The sequence below is a fragment of the Homo sapiens genome, chromosome 1, assembly GCF_000001405.40.
Source record: "Homo sapiens chromosome 1, GRCh38.p14 Primary Assembly".
In the NCBI taxonomy this organism is placed as follows: domain Eukaryota; kingdom Metazoa; phylum Chordata; class Mammalia; order Primates; family Hominidae; genus Homo; species Homo sapiens.
In genome coordinates this window covers 154692807-154710327 of record NC_000001.11, presented here as the reverse complement: position 1 = coordinate 154710327, position 17521 = coordinate 154692807, and the positions used below count along the sequence as shown (strand labels likewise).

The following is a 17521-nucleotide window of genomic DNA, read 5'->3' as shown; positions in this document are numbered from 1 at the left end:
CCCCCTGGCATCCTGTCACCAAGCAACGGAACAGGGGGAGACAATAACGCTGTGTTCTCTCTCTTTTCTGTCTTTGTGCTGTAGCCTCCCAAGTCAGCGCCTTCCCACTCCTGCCCTTTGGTCCTCTCTAAATTAAGAATATGGCATGTGGCCTCCACATATTACGTCTGTATTGAATTGCTGTCCTATAGGCTGGCAGAGCTGGGAGGGCTTGGAGTCTTTCCCCGATTGCTTCAATTACTTCAATTGAAATATAAAAATAATTCCTACCATCGGAGGCTCAGGTGATCGAATAAGATGATATCTGTGAAAATGCTTTGTAAACTATAAAGGTTTTGCAATTGGTAGTTCTGATTATCAATATAGATGAGGAAACCAAGATCCAAGGGAACAAAGTGACCATCCCACGGTCAGGCAGTTGGTGAGCACCAGCGTGGGGGCCACAACCCAGGGGCCTGGACTCTGAGTCCAGAGCTCATCAGGGTGCCCCTGCGGTCAAATGAAATGGGTGATTTTGCACATTCCGGGAAGAATGTTTGCCTCGAGGAGGTTCTGTCATGTTGATTAATAAAGGGAGTACTTTCACTTCTAAAGTCACCCTGTCCTCCAAGGGCATCCACGACACGGTGTCCTGCTCTGGCAACAGCAGAGCTCATGGGAGCGGGGCCATCTCCATGCCACCTTGTGACCTTTCCTTATGCTGCCCCAGTGAATTTCCTCATGGGGCCTGTAGTCTGCTGGGGAGGCCTCACTGCATTTTGTGCCCCTGCTCCCCTTCATTCTTCTCTGGCTTCTCACATCTTCTTTTACTCTTCTTTTTTCCTCTCACCTTACTTGCTGCTGCTTTGGTCCCTGGGGCATAAATCATGTCCATATCTTCCTAGAGTAACCTGAAATTTCACGTGAAATAGGATCGGGGTGTCACTGGCAGATCATCAGAAACCCAAAGAGCCACAGTACCTCAGGGATGACCAAGCAACCACCGGCCTGGCCCTCTGCATTGCCGCCCCAGGAGCCTCACTCCCTGACACGTGGGAGGCTGAAGATGCTTGTGAATCTTGTTCCCAAGTCTGATGTACACAGCCAAGATGGCATTTGCTAATTTGCTGGGAGAAAAATATCTGTTGCATAGACTGGGACTCTGCAGACCAACAAGGGGGCCACAGGATGTTGGGGAAGGAGCACTGGTAATCGGCCGGCACCCCTGGAACACGGGGAGTCAGTGCTGAGTGCAGGAGGGGTACTGGGGAGCTCTCAGGGGAGCACCCTCAGGACCCCTGCCAAGGAGTGAGGGAAGCAGGATTGGTCAGTGGGAGGGTTTGAACTGTGATACAGTCAACAAAGACCTCAGCCCTTCAGAGTGGCCCTTCAGGGATGTCCCACCCTGAGGCATTGTGGATCAGGCAGGCGAAGGGCCACACCTCAGCAAGGCAGCCTCCTTTGGCTAAGCACTGTGCCTGAGAGTTAATTCACTTTACATCCTGTCTGCTGGGTTAAAATAGAGGTTGGGAGATGTGCAATAACTCCTAACTGTGTACAGTTATTATTAACTCCAATTTTATAAGGCAACCGAGATTGAGAGAGGCCAGGCGCCTGGCAGAGGGCACACTGTTAGTGAGCTGCAGATGTGTACTTGAGCCCTGGCCTACTAATTATACACCCACTGCACTGTCCATTCCCCACCAGCGTCTTCTCTGGAATCATTAGATGCCAGCAGCCATGTGAGCTGAGAGGTTGTGGCCCTGTGAGAACATGAGACAGTTTAGAGACTCACTTTATTTAAGAAAAAAAAAAGGGCCATTTTTTTCCCCTTGGTGCATATTTTCTAATAAAATGCTGTCATTAATACTCATTACTTTTGTAATAAGAAAACAAAAATGTGCACACTTCAGCATCCCCATCCCCAGGAAAGAAGCCTGTATCCTTCCTTGACCAGATCAGCTGGTGTGGAAGTGGCTCCTGTCATACTGTGGAGGGCGTTTCATTTCTCCCATTGCAGATTCCTCTGTGATGACCTGTCATCTCCCTGTCTCTCGCCTCTCTCTCTCCACACAGATGCAGAATGTCATGTATGACTTAATCACAGAACTCAATGACCGGAGCGAAGACCTGGAGAAGCAGATTGGCAGCCTGGAGTCGAAGCTGGAGCATCTCACCGCCAGCTTCAACTCCCTGCCGCTGCTCATCGCCGACACCCTGCGCCAGCAGCAGCAGCAGCTCCTGTCTGCCATCATCGAGGCCCGGGGTGTCAGCGTGGCAGTGGGCACCACCCACACCCCAATCTCCGATAGCCCCATTGGGGTCAGCTCCACCTCCTTCCCGACCCCGTACACAAGTTCAAGCAGTTGCTAAATAAATCTCCCCACTCCAGAAGCATTACCCATAGGTCTTAAGATGCAAATCAACTCTCTCCTGGTCGCTTTGCCATCAAGAAACATTCAGACCAGGGAACGGAAAGAAGAGAGACCGAGCTAATTAACTAACTCATGTTCATTCAGCGTGCTTGGTCCGACATGCCTTGAAACCAGAAATCTAATCTCTGTTTAGGTGCCTCTACTTGGGAGCGGGAAGAGGAGATGACAGGAAGCGACGCCTCTGGCAGGGCCCTTGCTGCAGAGTTGGTGGAGAACAGAAATCCACGCTCAATCTCAGGTCTTCACGCGGGGGGTGGGGGTCAGATGCACTGAAGTAGCCAACAGCGAAGCCAGTCCAGAAGAGGGGTCCGCTGGGAGGGAGGGTTGTGTCAGGCTTGGGGGATGGGCTCTTCGCCATGGGGGTCTTTGAACACACCTCTCTCCTTTCCTTTTGTCTACGGAAGCCTCTGGGTGACAAAAGTAAAAGAGAGCTGCCCACAACTTGCCAAAACAGATATACTCGAATCAGACTGAAAAAAAAAAAAAAAGACACAGACAAATAAAAAGCCAGATTTTCCACTCGATATTAATACCCACATAAACCTGTGTGTTTGCAAACGTGTACATGTACACACATACACATCCCACGTTCGCTTCAGGTCCTTTCTTATTTGAGCTTAATCCAAATAAAAAGGGACTTGACACCTTACCCTGCATACAATAGGCACCCCTTACATGTGTTTTGAGTTGGTCTGAATCTGAACATGGGGTGCTTTCAGTTCAGGTAGTTAGCTAGTTCTGGCCACATTCTGAGTTTCACTGAAGATGTGGATCCCTTCAGACATAATGCACATTGCTTTGTCCTGGATATGCACCTTGCTTGATTTGAAATGGATGCCAAGCCAAAATTGTTGGCATTCAGGAGGGATAAGCAGGCTTCTAAAAATAACAGCATCTGCAGAGTTTTCTTCTTCCATCCAAACAAGTTGTGTTTCGATGGTCCACATGACCAGGTGTATGTCTGTAAGTGTGGAGGGAGAGGACAAGAAATTGTGCATGTGTGTGCAGACATGCACAAACAGGAGCAATCCAATAACACCTTAGTGAATAGAAATATGGTTGGGGATTTGCTGAGCTGTATTTATCCAGCAACAGGTTTCCAGCCCCAGATGTTAGTAGTGCAAAAGGGCCAAGTGCCTCAATTGTGAGCCTCTGAGCTAGGAGGAGAAGTGATGAAGAGTGGCCTATGTGGTCCCTTCTACCTGACCTTAAGTCATCTCAAAATGAAATATTGTGAGAATGAAGGGAACCCTTAGGGAACCTTGTGGGTAAGGTAAGTGGACATGGATTTGTCAGTAGCCTGTTCCTACTGTGCCATGTTAATCTTGGTGCGAAAAACTATTCCAATACATCTCAAACTCCAAGAGACTTCAGAAACATCAAGATTTAGTGTAATGAGCGGCGCAGAAAAATGTTTTCATTGCTCCATAATCTGACCACACGTAACATTTGTGACGTGAAAACCATGACTTTCTCATTCTGAGGTCTTTGGTTTCTGCCTGTGGGAAATTGAATGGCACTGTATGGACTATTTCATCTGTTGATGGTAAAACAAAAGGGTGATTTTTTTGCTTGTGGTTGTCATCTTGGGTTTACCTTTGTAAGAAGACATCATCACCATTCTGAAGGCAGTGGCTTGGCATGGAGATTTTTATTCTGTAGCACTGGGCCTGTTCTTCTAAGGACAGCACAAGGTAGACAATTGTAGAGCCAAGGCCACTTTTTCAGGAAGATCTAGTCTCTTGCTAACCCTCTTCTTTCTCTCTTGCTATTGCTGCTGCTCTTTTGATGGTTTATAGTCTTAATGGCCTGCCTTGATAATTCCTTTGAACACTTTCATTAGTTGTTTTGCATACCAGAGATGCCGCACCTGCTGTTGGCTTATTTTTTTACTTGTTCTATTAACTGTTGATTATCTGAATGTTTCCCCTCCTCCTTGTTTCATGTCCCAAGAATGGTGCTCCTGTTTTCAGTGACAGTTCAGCTGAACATATAAGCAGATGTGTAAACAGATGAAGTAACCATGCAGTTTCCTTGTGGCATTAGTTCCATTTCACAAAGTGAAGACCACTGGTGGGCTGATCTGAGTGTGCCAATCCTGATCATTTAAACCTACAGCCTTCAACTGGTGATTCCTACCCACCGTTTTCATTCTGCTATAACCCTGTGATATGTGTGCGTGTGGGTGTGAGTGTGGGTGTGTGCACATATAGAGATTTAGTCTTAATTTCAACCAAATGACATGCAAGATTCCACTGCCACTCTTCCTGGCCAAAAGTGTGCACAGACTGTGATTTATTCATTGTGGTCTGTGACTTTAACCCATCATTGATGCTCTCACTTAGGTAAACCCTAAAGACCAAACTAGCAACACTAGTCAAGGGAGTGACTGGAGTTATTTCTGGTAGCAGTAGCCACTGGCATCCTAGAAACACATGGACATTTGTAGCATGAATTGACCTATTGGTAGTGCAATAGCTATACATGATTTTTATTCTTGGCAAAAGAAAATGCTTCAAAAAAAAAGTGATCAAACCTGCACATTGATCCTGTAATAGCAAATGGAAGGCTATTTCTCTGTACTAGCATTTCAGCTTTATGTGGGAAAGTTACCCGTTCTCCTGCAAGTACAATCAACCCTTGATGACTTAAGTATTAATTATTCTGGGTGTAGCTCACCCAAGTTTTCTTCCTACATCTTTTGGCTAATTCCACCACACCTCAGCATCACAGTCAGATGGGAAAAGGGGCAGGTGGATTCTCATGTCATGCCTTCTTGTACCTTATTTTCAAGTTTTGTGGTGGAGGAGGTTTAATTATCTGCTCAAGAATCTGGTATATATAGCCAGGTGCGGTGGCTCATGCCTGTAATCCCAGGACTTTGGGCAAGGCGAGAGGATCACCTGAGGTCAGGAGTTCAAGACCAGCCTGGCCAACATGGCAAAACCCCATCTCTACTAAAAATACAAAAATTAGCTGGGTTTGGTGGTGGACACCTGTAGTCCCAGCTACTTGGGAGGCTGCGGCAGGAGAATCACTTGAACCCCGGAAGTGGAGGTTGCAGTGAGCCAAGATCGTGCCATTGCACTCCAGCTTGGGTGACCGAGCAAGACTCCGTCTCAAAAAAAAAAAAAAAATCGGCTATATGTAAAAACTATTAATTATGTAACCTCACTCCAATACTGTACTGATCAAGATCTGCCCACTCCTAGAGGACTGACCCAATGGCAGATCCCCTACTATAATCTTTCTGACAACTCAGTGACAGGTAAAATCACTCTAATATTCCTAAAATATCTAGACACTTGAATTAGAAATACAGAACCACCCCCACCCCTGCCATTGCTTAAGCCATATTAAAGCTTCATGTACTGTAAAGTCAGGGATGTACTGTGATACTTTAAGACCACTAATCTCAGTGGAATTTCAGGACATAGCATTAGTTGGTAAATTACACCAGACTAGGGGCTCACTCCTCCTTAGATTGAAGTCCAAATAAAAGTCTTCACCTTTGGATCAAAGGCCACATATATATGATCATCATCAATAAATTGTCATAAAGTGTCTATGAACTGCTCTTGCCATCTTCCTAATACGTAACTTCATGACATCATGTCTCTAGAAGTGCTTAATACAATCCAAAAGAACAAGGGGGGAAGGCCCCAAGTCACCACTGACCGACCTCAGCAGGGGCCAGTGGTAGAACAACAATCTTGTGAATTAGGAGACATAGAAAATGTACGCAAAAGTAAATTCCAAGCGCTGAGCATGTACAAGCTATTTTTATTATTAAAAGCCAAGAAGGAAGAGCATTGAAGAAGTAATGATTTTAATATAGTGGGGGATTTCCCCCTTAAATTTTTATAATTTCCTTGTGAATAAACAATCATGGAAAAGAAGAAACCTAGTCATACAAAATCAGAATAAATAAAAATCTTAAGACTGGATCCACATCTTTGGCCAATTCATATAAGCACCTAATACATCAATTTCTCTGTACTTAAAATGAAGAGAATAATTAATATTCTTAAGTACAATGTTTTCAATAGAGAACAAATGAAATCACCTTTGTCATCAACAGCAGCCCAGACTGACTGTATCTAGATCACACCTTGATGTTACGTTTGAATGCAGTCAGTAGTTACCAAAAAGTAATTAGTGCACATTAAATAGTGGTAAAATCAGCAGGGAGAAATATGGGATTAGCACGTAGTTCCAGAACCTTCCTCCTCCTCCAGAGTGCAACTCAACAAACAGTACACTCCAAATTAAGAATCAATGTTTCATCCCAGGACAAACGGTGTTGCTCCCATCACAGTACCACAACTGAGATACTGTGAAGTCATTGCACTACCAGTAGGTTACTACTCTTTTGAAGTTACTGTTTTTAAATCCTAAAATATGTCCCCAGTTTTCTACATTCATTCTTCTTCCCCTAAGAGTTGCTAGAAGCAGATGAAGGATCCCTATTGACTCTGCAGGGTTTGATTTCAGTACCTTAGACAGCTATCTGGTGACTTCCCAGTAGGCACGAACAACCCCTTCTCTCCCCTTGCAGTCGGTGGGCTTGATGACGCCCCAGACAGTATCCTTTCCTTCTCTACTGCCGCCAAAATAAACATTAGGGAAATGGGATCATTAACACCACTGAGAAAGGAGTTTACAGGGATCGCAATAGTAACTGTCTGCTTGTGGTAGTAGAAAGCTTGTGCCAGGCTGCATGAATAGAAATTAATGTTAAACTCCTGTTAGACGAGTAATATGTAGATTTTTATTGAAACAGACCACAGCTTATTAAAAAGTACTCAGTGCAATGGTATATACATATATACAGATAGAAAAAAATATAACTGTGATCTTTTTGTCTTACGCCATTACTGGAAACACCCAAACGTGAACTGGAGTTCCCTCTGAACAAAACCATTGTCAAATCTTCAACATATGACCTCCAAATCTAGGTGCCAAGTGCCCTGTGACAGTTGTTTACACACCTGAAAAATGTATCCTGGAAGCTGTAATCTTGGGCCTGGGCTATGTGTTGAAACAAGCAAAAGAGACACATCGTGACCAACCAAGCTGGTGGAGGAAAAGCACAAAATTCAACTCCAACCTGCAGTTAGGATCCCAAAGAGATGTTGACATTTATAGCCAAAAAGAAAAAGTACATATATATATATATATATATATATATATATATATATATATATATATATCTGAATCAGATCGAAGCAGCCAACGTCCAGCTTCACTCAAGAAGGACAAGGAATAAACAACATTCTCTAGCTGTGTCATGTTGTCTCAGTTTTTGAATCTCAACCAGGACTGATCCACCTTCATCAGATACGTTTTTTAATGGCGCAACAACTCAATTTTGGTCCCAGACTCTCCATTCTGCACTGGCCACGAGAACAACAAGAGAATGACAGGATGTTAATGGAGGAAACATTTTCATGGCAAGCTCAGAAACTGAAGTGTTTATATTCAGAATCAGATGAGCTTTAATATGAATTTGCATCTTGCCTCTGTACTGCTTGCTATTTTTTAATGATAGGAGAAAGCATAACAGTTTATTTTAAATATGAAATATATTGATATATTATAAAATATATTGTAACTTTCAATTAACATTTTGTATCAAACTAGTGTTTAGCAGGTCCACTGTCAGCCTGCTCTCCCAATGACTGTTTCTGAGTACACATCACTGTTAGTGATTGCCGGGCACCCAGAAAAAGGGTCCTCCTACCACAGCCTACTGAACTGCCATATTCTAATTCTCCAAGGCCTGGGTATTAGAGACAAAAGAACATTATTCCAAGAGTAGAGGAATAATTCTACCCTAAATTCTATCAAGCCATTTCAGAAGAGATTTTAAAAGCCATCACTCCTTTAGTAGCTCTGCAAAGCCAGTTTAATAAAAGTTCAGGCTCTTTCTATATAAATTCAAAGGCCTCATTACATAAATTATATAAGTCTCAAACCTAGCCAACCAGTTTTCCTTTGACAATGTCAGAATTGGACATAAGAAAGAGTCCTGTTTTCCTGTAACTTAAAATACTCAAAATCCTAGGCATTCTGAGTTTCTCCATGTACGTGAAACCGGGGTCGGCTTTCCAAACTACACAAGGCCCAACAAGAGTCCAGTGTGCAGATGTGCTTTTCTAAATTGGCAATACCCTTGAGGGAGCAAGGTTCCCACATGTTTATCAAGGACATGGAGCCCAGCTCCTAAGGGAGTGATGGGAGGAGCCGGCAGGACATGAACAGCCAGAGCCAGCAAAGAGCCGGGCTGCCTTTTCTGCTAGCTTCCTCTAGCTGGGAGGAAATAAAGGGTTCCCGTTGAGATATTGTCCTTTATAGCAAAATTAAGCAACTCATGGAATCTACACCCCTCTTTCTCTACAGAGCAGCTGAGACATACATGTAGAAGTTCTCAGTTCCCTCCTTCATATGGCTAAGGCACTACTTCTAGATGAAAACAGGATGTGTTCGGTTACAGAATAAAGATTTTCTAGAATCAGTGAGCCTCTTCTCACCTGGGACCCTCACTTGCTGTTGTTGCTTTGGTGCAATATTGTACAGGTGCAAACCAGGTTGCATCGGGGCAGATTAACTGAGCCTATGTGTCTCTTCCCTTCCCAAGCCCTGAAAATTCACATAGATTTACAGATAGTGCAAAACAACAAGTTTTCTCCTGGGAAAAGGCTGGAATCCTTCAAATTTCAATTTATATGAGCTTAAAGGTATATAAGTCATGGGGCTCACTGACATTAGGTATTCATGCTGTTTGAAAGAGAAATGTCTAAATGCCCGTTTTCAGTCTGTTTGTGTAGCTGAGCCCTAACTTGTACACAAGTTTTCTTGTTATGGAGCTAAATTCTCTCAGTGCCTGTATTACTCCTCAGTTATATGTTAGGCCGAGCTCCACTAAAGCCATCTGAACTCCAGGGCACTTGTTTTTATCAGGTTACTTACTCACCGGATAATGGAAATTGGCTTATTTTCAATTTTACAATTGACTGATGAATGTATTGGTGGTAATTGATTTATTTCTTCACTTTTTTTTGCTACTAAATGATTTTTTCTTTTTTAAAATTATTATTATTATTATTTTGAGATGGAGTCTCACTCTGTCGCCCAGGCTGGAGTGCAGTGGCGCCATCTCAGCTCACTGCAAGCTCTGCCTCCTGGGTTCATGCAATTCTCCTGCCTCAGCCTCCCGAGTAGCTGGGATTACAGGTGCGTGCCACCACGACCAGCTAATTTTTTTGTATTTTTAGTAGAGACAGGGTTTCATCATGTTAACCAGGATGGTCTCGATCTCCTGACCTCGTGATCCACCTGCCTGGGCCTCCCAAAGTGAGCCACTGTGCCTGGCCCAGTAAGTGCTTTTTTCTTTTGGTTTTTCCTTCTAACACTGCTCAGACCAAGACTTACATTTATAAAGAGCAAATATATTCTGACCTTTCCCCTCAAAGTTGTATTCCATCTAGAATCAAGGAAACAAATGCAAATTCATCATTTGGGGAAAGCAGACCTCTTGACAGTAATTCAAGTCCATGGCTATATGCTAACCCTTGCTACTCAAAGTGTGGTCCACAGACCAGCAGCGTTAGCATCATCTGTAAGCTTGTTAGAAATGCAGAATCTCAGGCCCCACATCAAACCTTCTTCATCAGAATTGGCCTTTTAACAAATCCCCAGGTGACCTGTATGCACCAGAAATATTGATAAGCACTGGCCTCACCTCACCGTAGTGATAACTAACCTCGTTAATAATTAGAGAATGAAGCTATCTCTTCCTTGAGTCTCATTTACAGAATTATTTGAAGATGTGAAGGTCCTGAATGATCATAAGGATTAAAAAAATGCATCTTTAAATTCCACTTGAGGTTATATAACTTGGATGGTCTACATCAAACATAATAAAGTCAATAAGAGATAGTCTTTTTCCGGTCTTACCTAAATAGCACTCCATATCCTTGAGCCACCTCAAAGCCCCCATTTTTAAGTTTTAGTCTTTTTTTTTTTAGACCAGACTAGCAAAGCCATCAGAATATCAGGTGGAACCTCAGGGCAGGTCCTCTGGAAGGCTACAGGAGTCTCTGCTTAGCATAGTACAGAAATTGTTGTGTTTCTCGATCCTTGTGTTCTTCCCTTGAGGAACTCAGCATCTCACCAGTAAGAACTCCCCTCCCCTAGAGGAAAATAGCAAGAGAAGTTAGTTTAACCATCTAGAAACATTGCTAATCTCCTTGAAAGCCAATTCTCTTACTCATTGCACCAACAAGAAACACTCCAAGGTGGGCAAGGAAAGACGTGAATTCTGATATTGGCGCCATAACTCGATATGTACCCAGAAACAGTTATGTTCTAAATTAATGGCTTTAACCTGTTCATTGTAAAAAGTGCCTTGGACTTCAATCTAAAGAGGTCAGTATAAATATGTATGTGTGTGTGTGACGTGTATGTAGGCAAATATTTACAGATTTATACATACATAGGTGCACACACATATACCCGCACATTCATATATAATATATACATACATATATAAATGCTTCATAATATATCATATTGCTATTCACAGCTCCATTTCTTTTGTCTGGTCCTATGTTTATTTGTTTAGTGAGACCTTTACATAGAGAGGTTCTATTCGGAACATTGATGTATTTTTTGTTTGTTTTTTACTTTTTATTAAAAAGGTAAAGGATATTAAAAAAAAAAAAAAAAGTCAAGTGCCTGAAGGTTTTGAATGGAGTTACGGTAAACTTTCTCAGGTCACCAAAGAGGAAACATTTTTCCTTTGGAAAACATTTTTCTGTTTCAGTGACTTTGTTTTCCCTTGGTGGTAATGCATAAATAAGAGTGGTTAAAGTGATTTTGTAAGTTTTATTTCAATCCATTTCTGTGGTTCCCATAAGGCAATAGCTAAAAATTTGTTCAGTCTAGTGCCCAGTTTTCTCCACACATCAGCATCAGAAGGGCCCGGTCTTCACATGCTCTGTGTGGTTTTGTTCGCGTTGTTACTGTGTTCCTTACTAAGGAAAGGCAAATGAAATTGCAGGGGCTGGAGCTTAGACCAGCTCCAAATATGGCTTCCTTTTGGTAACACACACAGAAGGTGGACTAGTGGGAAGTCTCTCTCCCTGAAGCAGGTGGGAACCTGTGTCTTAGAAGGCAGAGGAGTCCCAGTGAACTCTCCACAGCTCCATGGGCCCTGCCTGTCTACAGTTATACAACTGCCTGTATGAGTCAGCCTTTCTCTACCTTAGCCAAAGGTCTTCTCTTTCTGTGGTGTGACAGCTTGTAATGAACCAACTTGCTCTGGTTAGAAGTCCCTAGAGCTCCAGGAAGAGTCGCCAGGTTTCCATTGCTGTGCTCAAAGCTCAAGGACACATTATACTTCTTTAAACCAACTAAATCTCTCTAGCTCCCTGCCCCCATGGTGACACTTTCATAATAGGCAGGGCCAAGTCAGAGAGGTCATGCCCTGTATACAGTGTCAATCAGAAGAGACACTGCAAAATGTCAGAGGTGACCAGAAAGACAACAGATCTCTCCAGCTGTCCTCACAGCTGCAGGCACATTTGTGGAATTGTGAGTAGGAAGGCTTGGCAGCCAGGGGATGGGAAATGAATTTCCCCAAGTTGAAAACCCTGTACCCTTACTTTCCTTCCCATAAATTTTTCTGTAGTTCTAGGTAAATAATAATAATAATAAAAATGCAAATTAGGTGCTTTAGAAGGAGTATGTAATATCTGGGACTTTTTCTAAGTTGGTAGACCTAAAAAATGTTTTCAAAAATATATCTAGCTGCATTTCTACTGCTGTCATTCCTTAAAGCTCTTCCTCCAAAAACTCCATATGAATGAATACATTTACCAACTCAGTGATTACTAAATAATAGTACTTTATACTTATACACAGTAATACCTTTCATCTAAGGATCTCAAATGCCAATATATTAGTCATCACCCTGTAAGGTGGATGACATATTATTCCCATTATTCCAATGGGAAAATTGGGCCATAGAAAACTGAGGAGCAAATGACTCATCTACAGGAATTAAATGGAAAAAACAGGCTAGGATTTCTCAGCACACTTTAGGAGTGAATGAAAACTTACAGGCTTCAGTTCTACTGCTGGCCACCATTGGATTTGTAAGATCCAGGATGTGTATTGACCACATGTGTCCAGACCCAGGCTTAGGGCATCTGGAATGAGAGTGGTGGGCTGGTGTGTGGGTCTGAGGATCTGGATGGGAGACTGCATTTTCTTCTCTGTGCAAAATATGGAAGTGTGACCTTGAAGGTGGGCTTAGTCTATGGCCTTCCCCACTCCTGCTTGAACTGAAGCTGGAGAGAATGGGCATTTTTAAATGTTACGGCATATGCTAATATAATATTATGGCATTAAATAAAAACAAGAAGAGAACTGACTAAAACCAAAAAACCAAAAATGCAAGTGACTGATTTCCTTTAATTTTATCTTCTTCTTTCCCTACATGTATAGTTGTGAAAGCAAGATTTTTTAAAAGAGGAAATCTTAATTTAGATCGGAAACAGCGTCCCCTGGAAAAGGTTGCTTCTTTAAGCAAGGCCAGAACTGCCGTGGTTTTCATGGTAGTGTTGACTCAGGAGATTGGCCCCCCCAACATGGAGACACATGGAAGGCCTTAATACCAAACCCAGTTTTAACCACCCAGAGAGAGTGAGAGCCGCTCCTAAGGTGAATGGCTGTTCATCAACGAGAATATCTAGACACACTGATGTGTGATACGGCAAACTTGCAACTATGTTCAAGTAAAGTATCGGGCAGTTCCACACAGCACTCCTTCCATTTAGCTGAGCAGAGGGTCTCAGTAGACTCATCTCTGAAGCTTTTGAAAACCCCAAGCCAGGCTTCTCAACCCATGGAGACTCAGAAGCAGAGTATGGGTGACACCTGGGCATGTCCCTGAGGCACCACAGGTCGTTCTAAGGGGTGCCCCAAGTTGAGCACCACTGATCCAGAGCTTGCTGAAGTGAGGCCACCGGTGCCTAGTCTGGCACAGCCCTCCTCAGGATCTCTCCCCTCCCCCTAGTTGGTGAGGAGACGGGAAGAGAAGAGAGTAGGAGGGGGCAAGGTTTTTATAAAGATGGTGATTTACTCGAAGCTTGATTCCTTTTCATCTTGCCCTCATGTCTCTTCAGTCCTGGCCCCATGAGACTGTGCTGATCTGCATGCTGGCTCTACGTGTATTGGCAAACAATGCTGCCAGGTTACTCTTCCCTCACATGGTATTTCTCTGGCTGGCTGCTGCTTTCTCCTGGCACACAGTCTGTCTGGGTGTAATGTCTTTCTTTGGCCTTAGCTCTGGGTGAAGATTGAGGGAGGGCTATTCTGACATTTTTCACTAGACGAAAAAAGTTAAAATTAAACATAACACATTGTCCTTGCTAGCAGGTAACTCACTAAACCTAACGCACAAAAATTGGGTAACCTGCTATGTTATACGCATTGATCTTTTCCAAACTATATCTAACCACTAGATAAAATGTTGTCTCCTATTATAAAGAAAATTTGATCCATTATTACATCATGCATAACTGTGGAAGCTGGAAAAACAAGACATTAGAACTCAAAGGTGGGCCCAGTTTTCCAAAATGGACAATTCTGCTAATTCAGAATTCAGGAGACTCTGAGTAAGAACACCCCCTGCAGACCAACGGGAATAGGGCAATCTGAGGGAAAAAGAAATGTCACTTGGCATCCAGGAAAAGGCTCATCTGTATGGCTGTCAAAAACAAGGTGCTGGCACTGTATGCGGATGCAGATGAGAAGGCAGGCCATGCCTGTTAGAGACATTCATCTAGGTCATGGCCCTTGCCTTACACATAGGAGACAGAGATTCAAGAGAAGTGATTTGCCTGGAATCAAATGGAGAATTATGGGCAGAAAGTAAACTGGAACCTTTTCATGCCACATTGAGAATGCCTTCTGGGCTGATGTGGTAAATTGAGGCCTGCCCATAGCCTCTCCATGCTCTTTCTTGATTCATCCTCATAAAGTAGTTGGTTATCCATTTTGCAAATGTTTGCTAAGAAGAAAAGCCCCTGCTTCTCAACACACGCATACACCGCTAATGCATACACCGCATTAGCAATATCTCAAAGAAAACAAAGATATGCATATTGCGACTGGTTAAAATAATTCATAGTGCATTTTATATTCCAGAGGCATTGATCATTTTCAAAGTTATCTGCCTTTAGTTTAAAGAATTTACAGCTAATACTTGCAAAGCTACAAGAACCCCCACTGGTCAGGAAACATTAAATTCGATTATTAAAATGATGTGATTTTATATCCAGCATTACAGTGGATTATGCTAATGATGGTCAAGGTTATTAATCTTCATTGCCGTCACCACTGCAAATAATACATGAAGATTAGCCAAAATTAACTTAATCTGCTTGTAGCATGAATTTGAAATTTACACTTTATTTTTTCTGAGAACAAGTCACACTTAATAGCCTCTCTTAAAATGCATTCCTCCCCCCCGGAAAACCAAAGGTGGAAAACACGCATGCAATACCTGAGGGCGATTTCCTCTTCACCTAGGTAAAACGCTTTTCCAAACCTCTTCTGCTTCCTACTTTCAAACACTGGGGTATCACTTAAAAGCAATCAAGTACTTCTCAAGAAAGAATGCATACAGTAATGGGGCACCCACATCCCAGTCACTCATCAAGGGAAATGTCAGGTCTTCTGTAAGTGCCTGTAAGCTGTGATTCAATTGCCCTTTCTTAGAACACCCTCCTCACCTCCCACCTCTTGGAATGAGAAGGTAGATACATAACTCATCCTAAACTTCAGAATTTGGGAATCTTAACAAATTTACCCTTAGGATTTCCTACAGACTTTTTTCAATAATAACAATGCAATGTTTACTTGATTCACAAATTTGGGAACATAGGACCCTGTTTGGTGGCAGTTTAATTGAGAAAATGCTCGACGAGTATGGTCAGATCATCAATAAGAGGAACTGACATTCTCAGTTCTGTACTTGGAAATAAGATGTGAGAAAACTGTAGAGGACATTTATTCACTATCTCTAGAGCACCCATTCCCCAATTCTCTGCCAACAGCATGCAGAGTTTTCTTTAGTGAATTTGCCCTTCTCCCATCCCAACTATGCACTTGGGTGGGGTTAATACAACTTCCAGACCTCTGGTGGGCCATGGCAGGCTTAAGACAATCAGAGTACCTCATCACCCTAGCCAACGGATGGGCACAGGGCCCAAATCAGGCCAATGGGAGCAAGTGAACCCCAGAGCCCAGGGCTTGAGCCAGAGCAACCAGAAAAGACCCTCTACCCCAGGAGGGTGAGGTGCTGCTTGATCAGGAGCTGCTGCAACCCTTTTGTTTGATGAGGGGAGAGGGAGGAGTTGACAGAGGGCCACCATGTGGAACATGAGGATGAAGACCACCAAAGGCAGAGGGGAGAGGAGAGAAATGGGGACATTATGTGGCATAATAAGAAATATATTTTGGGTCTTTGTCCCTTGTTCCTGGCACAGAGCTCCTAAATCCCATGGGATTTCCTGGATGATAGGACCCACTTCTTGTTATAATGAGGTGACTCTTGCTGGGCTCCTGGATAGCTCCAAAATTGGAGCTGGTCACCAGAAAGACCAAGCTCTGATTAGAAACCTGGAACCTTCAGCCTAGCTAACATGGTGAAACCCCATCTCTACTAAAACTACAAAAATTAGCCGGGCATGGTGGTGCATGCCTGTAATCCCAGCTAGTCAGGAGGCCAAAGCAAAAGAATTGCTTGAACTCAGGAGGCGAAGGATGCAGTGAGCTAAGGTCGCACCACTGCACTCTAGCCTGGGCAACAGAGCGAGGCTCTATCTCAAAAAAAAAAAAAAAAAATTGATCATGCCTATGTGATGAAACCTCCATAAAAACCCTTAGACAAAAGAGTCTAGAGAACTTCCAGGTTGGTGAACACATCCATGTGCCAAGAGGGTGGCATACCCCAGCTCAATGGGATAGAAGCTTCTGTGCCTGGGACCCTTCTGGGTCTTGCCCTATATGCCTCTTCTCCTGGCTATTAATTTATATCCTTTAAAACAAATCCATAAACATAAGTAAAACATGTTCCTGAGTTCTGTGAGCCATTCTAGAAAATTGTTGAACCTGAGGAGGGAGTTGTGAGAACCCCTAATTTATAGCCAGTCAGTCAGGAGTATGAGAGGCCAGGACTTGTGACTGGCATCTGAAGTGGAGGGCAGACTTTGAGTCCTTCACCTACGGGGTCCGTGCTAACTCCAGATAGTTAGTGTCACAATTGAATTGAATTGTTGAACGCCTGTTCTTCTCTGGAGACTCAGAGAATTGGTCGTTGATGTTGGAGAACACCCCCCCTTGGTAATATCCTTGGAGCCACTGAATCTCCTAATTACCTGAACCAGTAACTTTGCTTTATATTGCAACCATTTGGAGATGAATTTTCTGTCATATCCAACATAAAGAGTCCTGGTGGAGAAGAACCAACCTCCTGGGCACACATCAAATCTCCCAGAGGAGTGACCAGAATGAGAATTAAAGAGAAATGCCATTTCAATAGTTCTGACATTTAAAAAGTTTAAAACACAAAAATTAAGTAGGATAACAAGAAAATGTGGAATGTCAAAATTGACTTTAGAGTGTACTTTGACCACTAAGTTAGCAGAGTGATGGAGAAAGAAAGAACCACAGCAAGAGATTCTGTTAAATGAACCAATGTGGTTTGGGGGAAAAAAAAAAAAAAGACTAAAGCAGAAAATGATCTATCAGTCAGGAAGGGGTGATGAGTGGAATAAAAGTGACCTAAGATCTTAGTATATGTCTTTATCTATTTTTTGCTGCTATAACAGAATACCTGAGACTGGGTAATTTATAATGAACAAAAATTTATTGGCACACAGTTCTGGAGACTAGGAAGTCCAAGATTGAGGGGTCAGCATCTTTTAAGGGCCTTCTTCCTCCATCATCCCATAGATGGAAGATGGAAGAGCAAGAGAGAGCACAAGAGTGAACTTGCAGCCTCAAGCTCTTTTAATAGTTGGCATTATTCCAGT

At 43.0% G+C, this 17521-nt stretch overlaps 1 protein-coding gene across 5 annotated transcripts in view; it reads left to right on the top strand.

The window, feature by feature from the left end:
- The window catches only part of KCNN3 (potassium calcium-activated channel subfamily N member 3), a 172827-nt gene extending 159954 nt beyond the window's left edge, over positions 1 to 12873 (top strand). For 3 of the 5 annotated variants that reach the window (NM_002249.6, NM_001204087.2, NM_170782.3), the window contains one exon: positions 2056 to 12873. In NM_002249.6, coding sequence (NP_002240.3) covers positions 2056 to 2352 — 297 coding nt within the window. In that variant the 3' untranslated portion in view covers positions 2353 to 12873. The remainder of the gene's footprint in view (positions 1 to 2055) is intronic. The other 2 variants (NM_001365838.1, NM_001365837.1) reach the window with 1 other exon arrangement.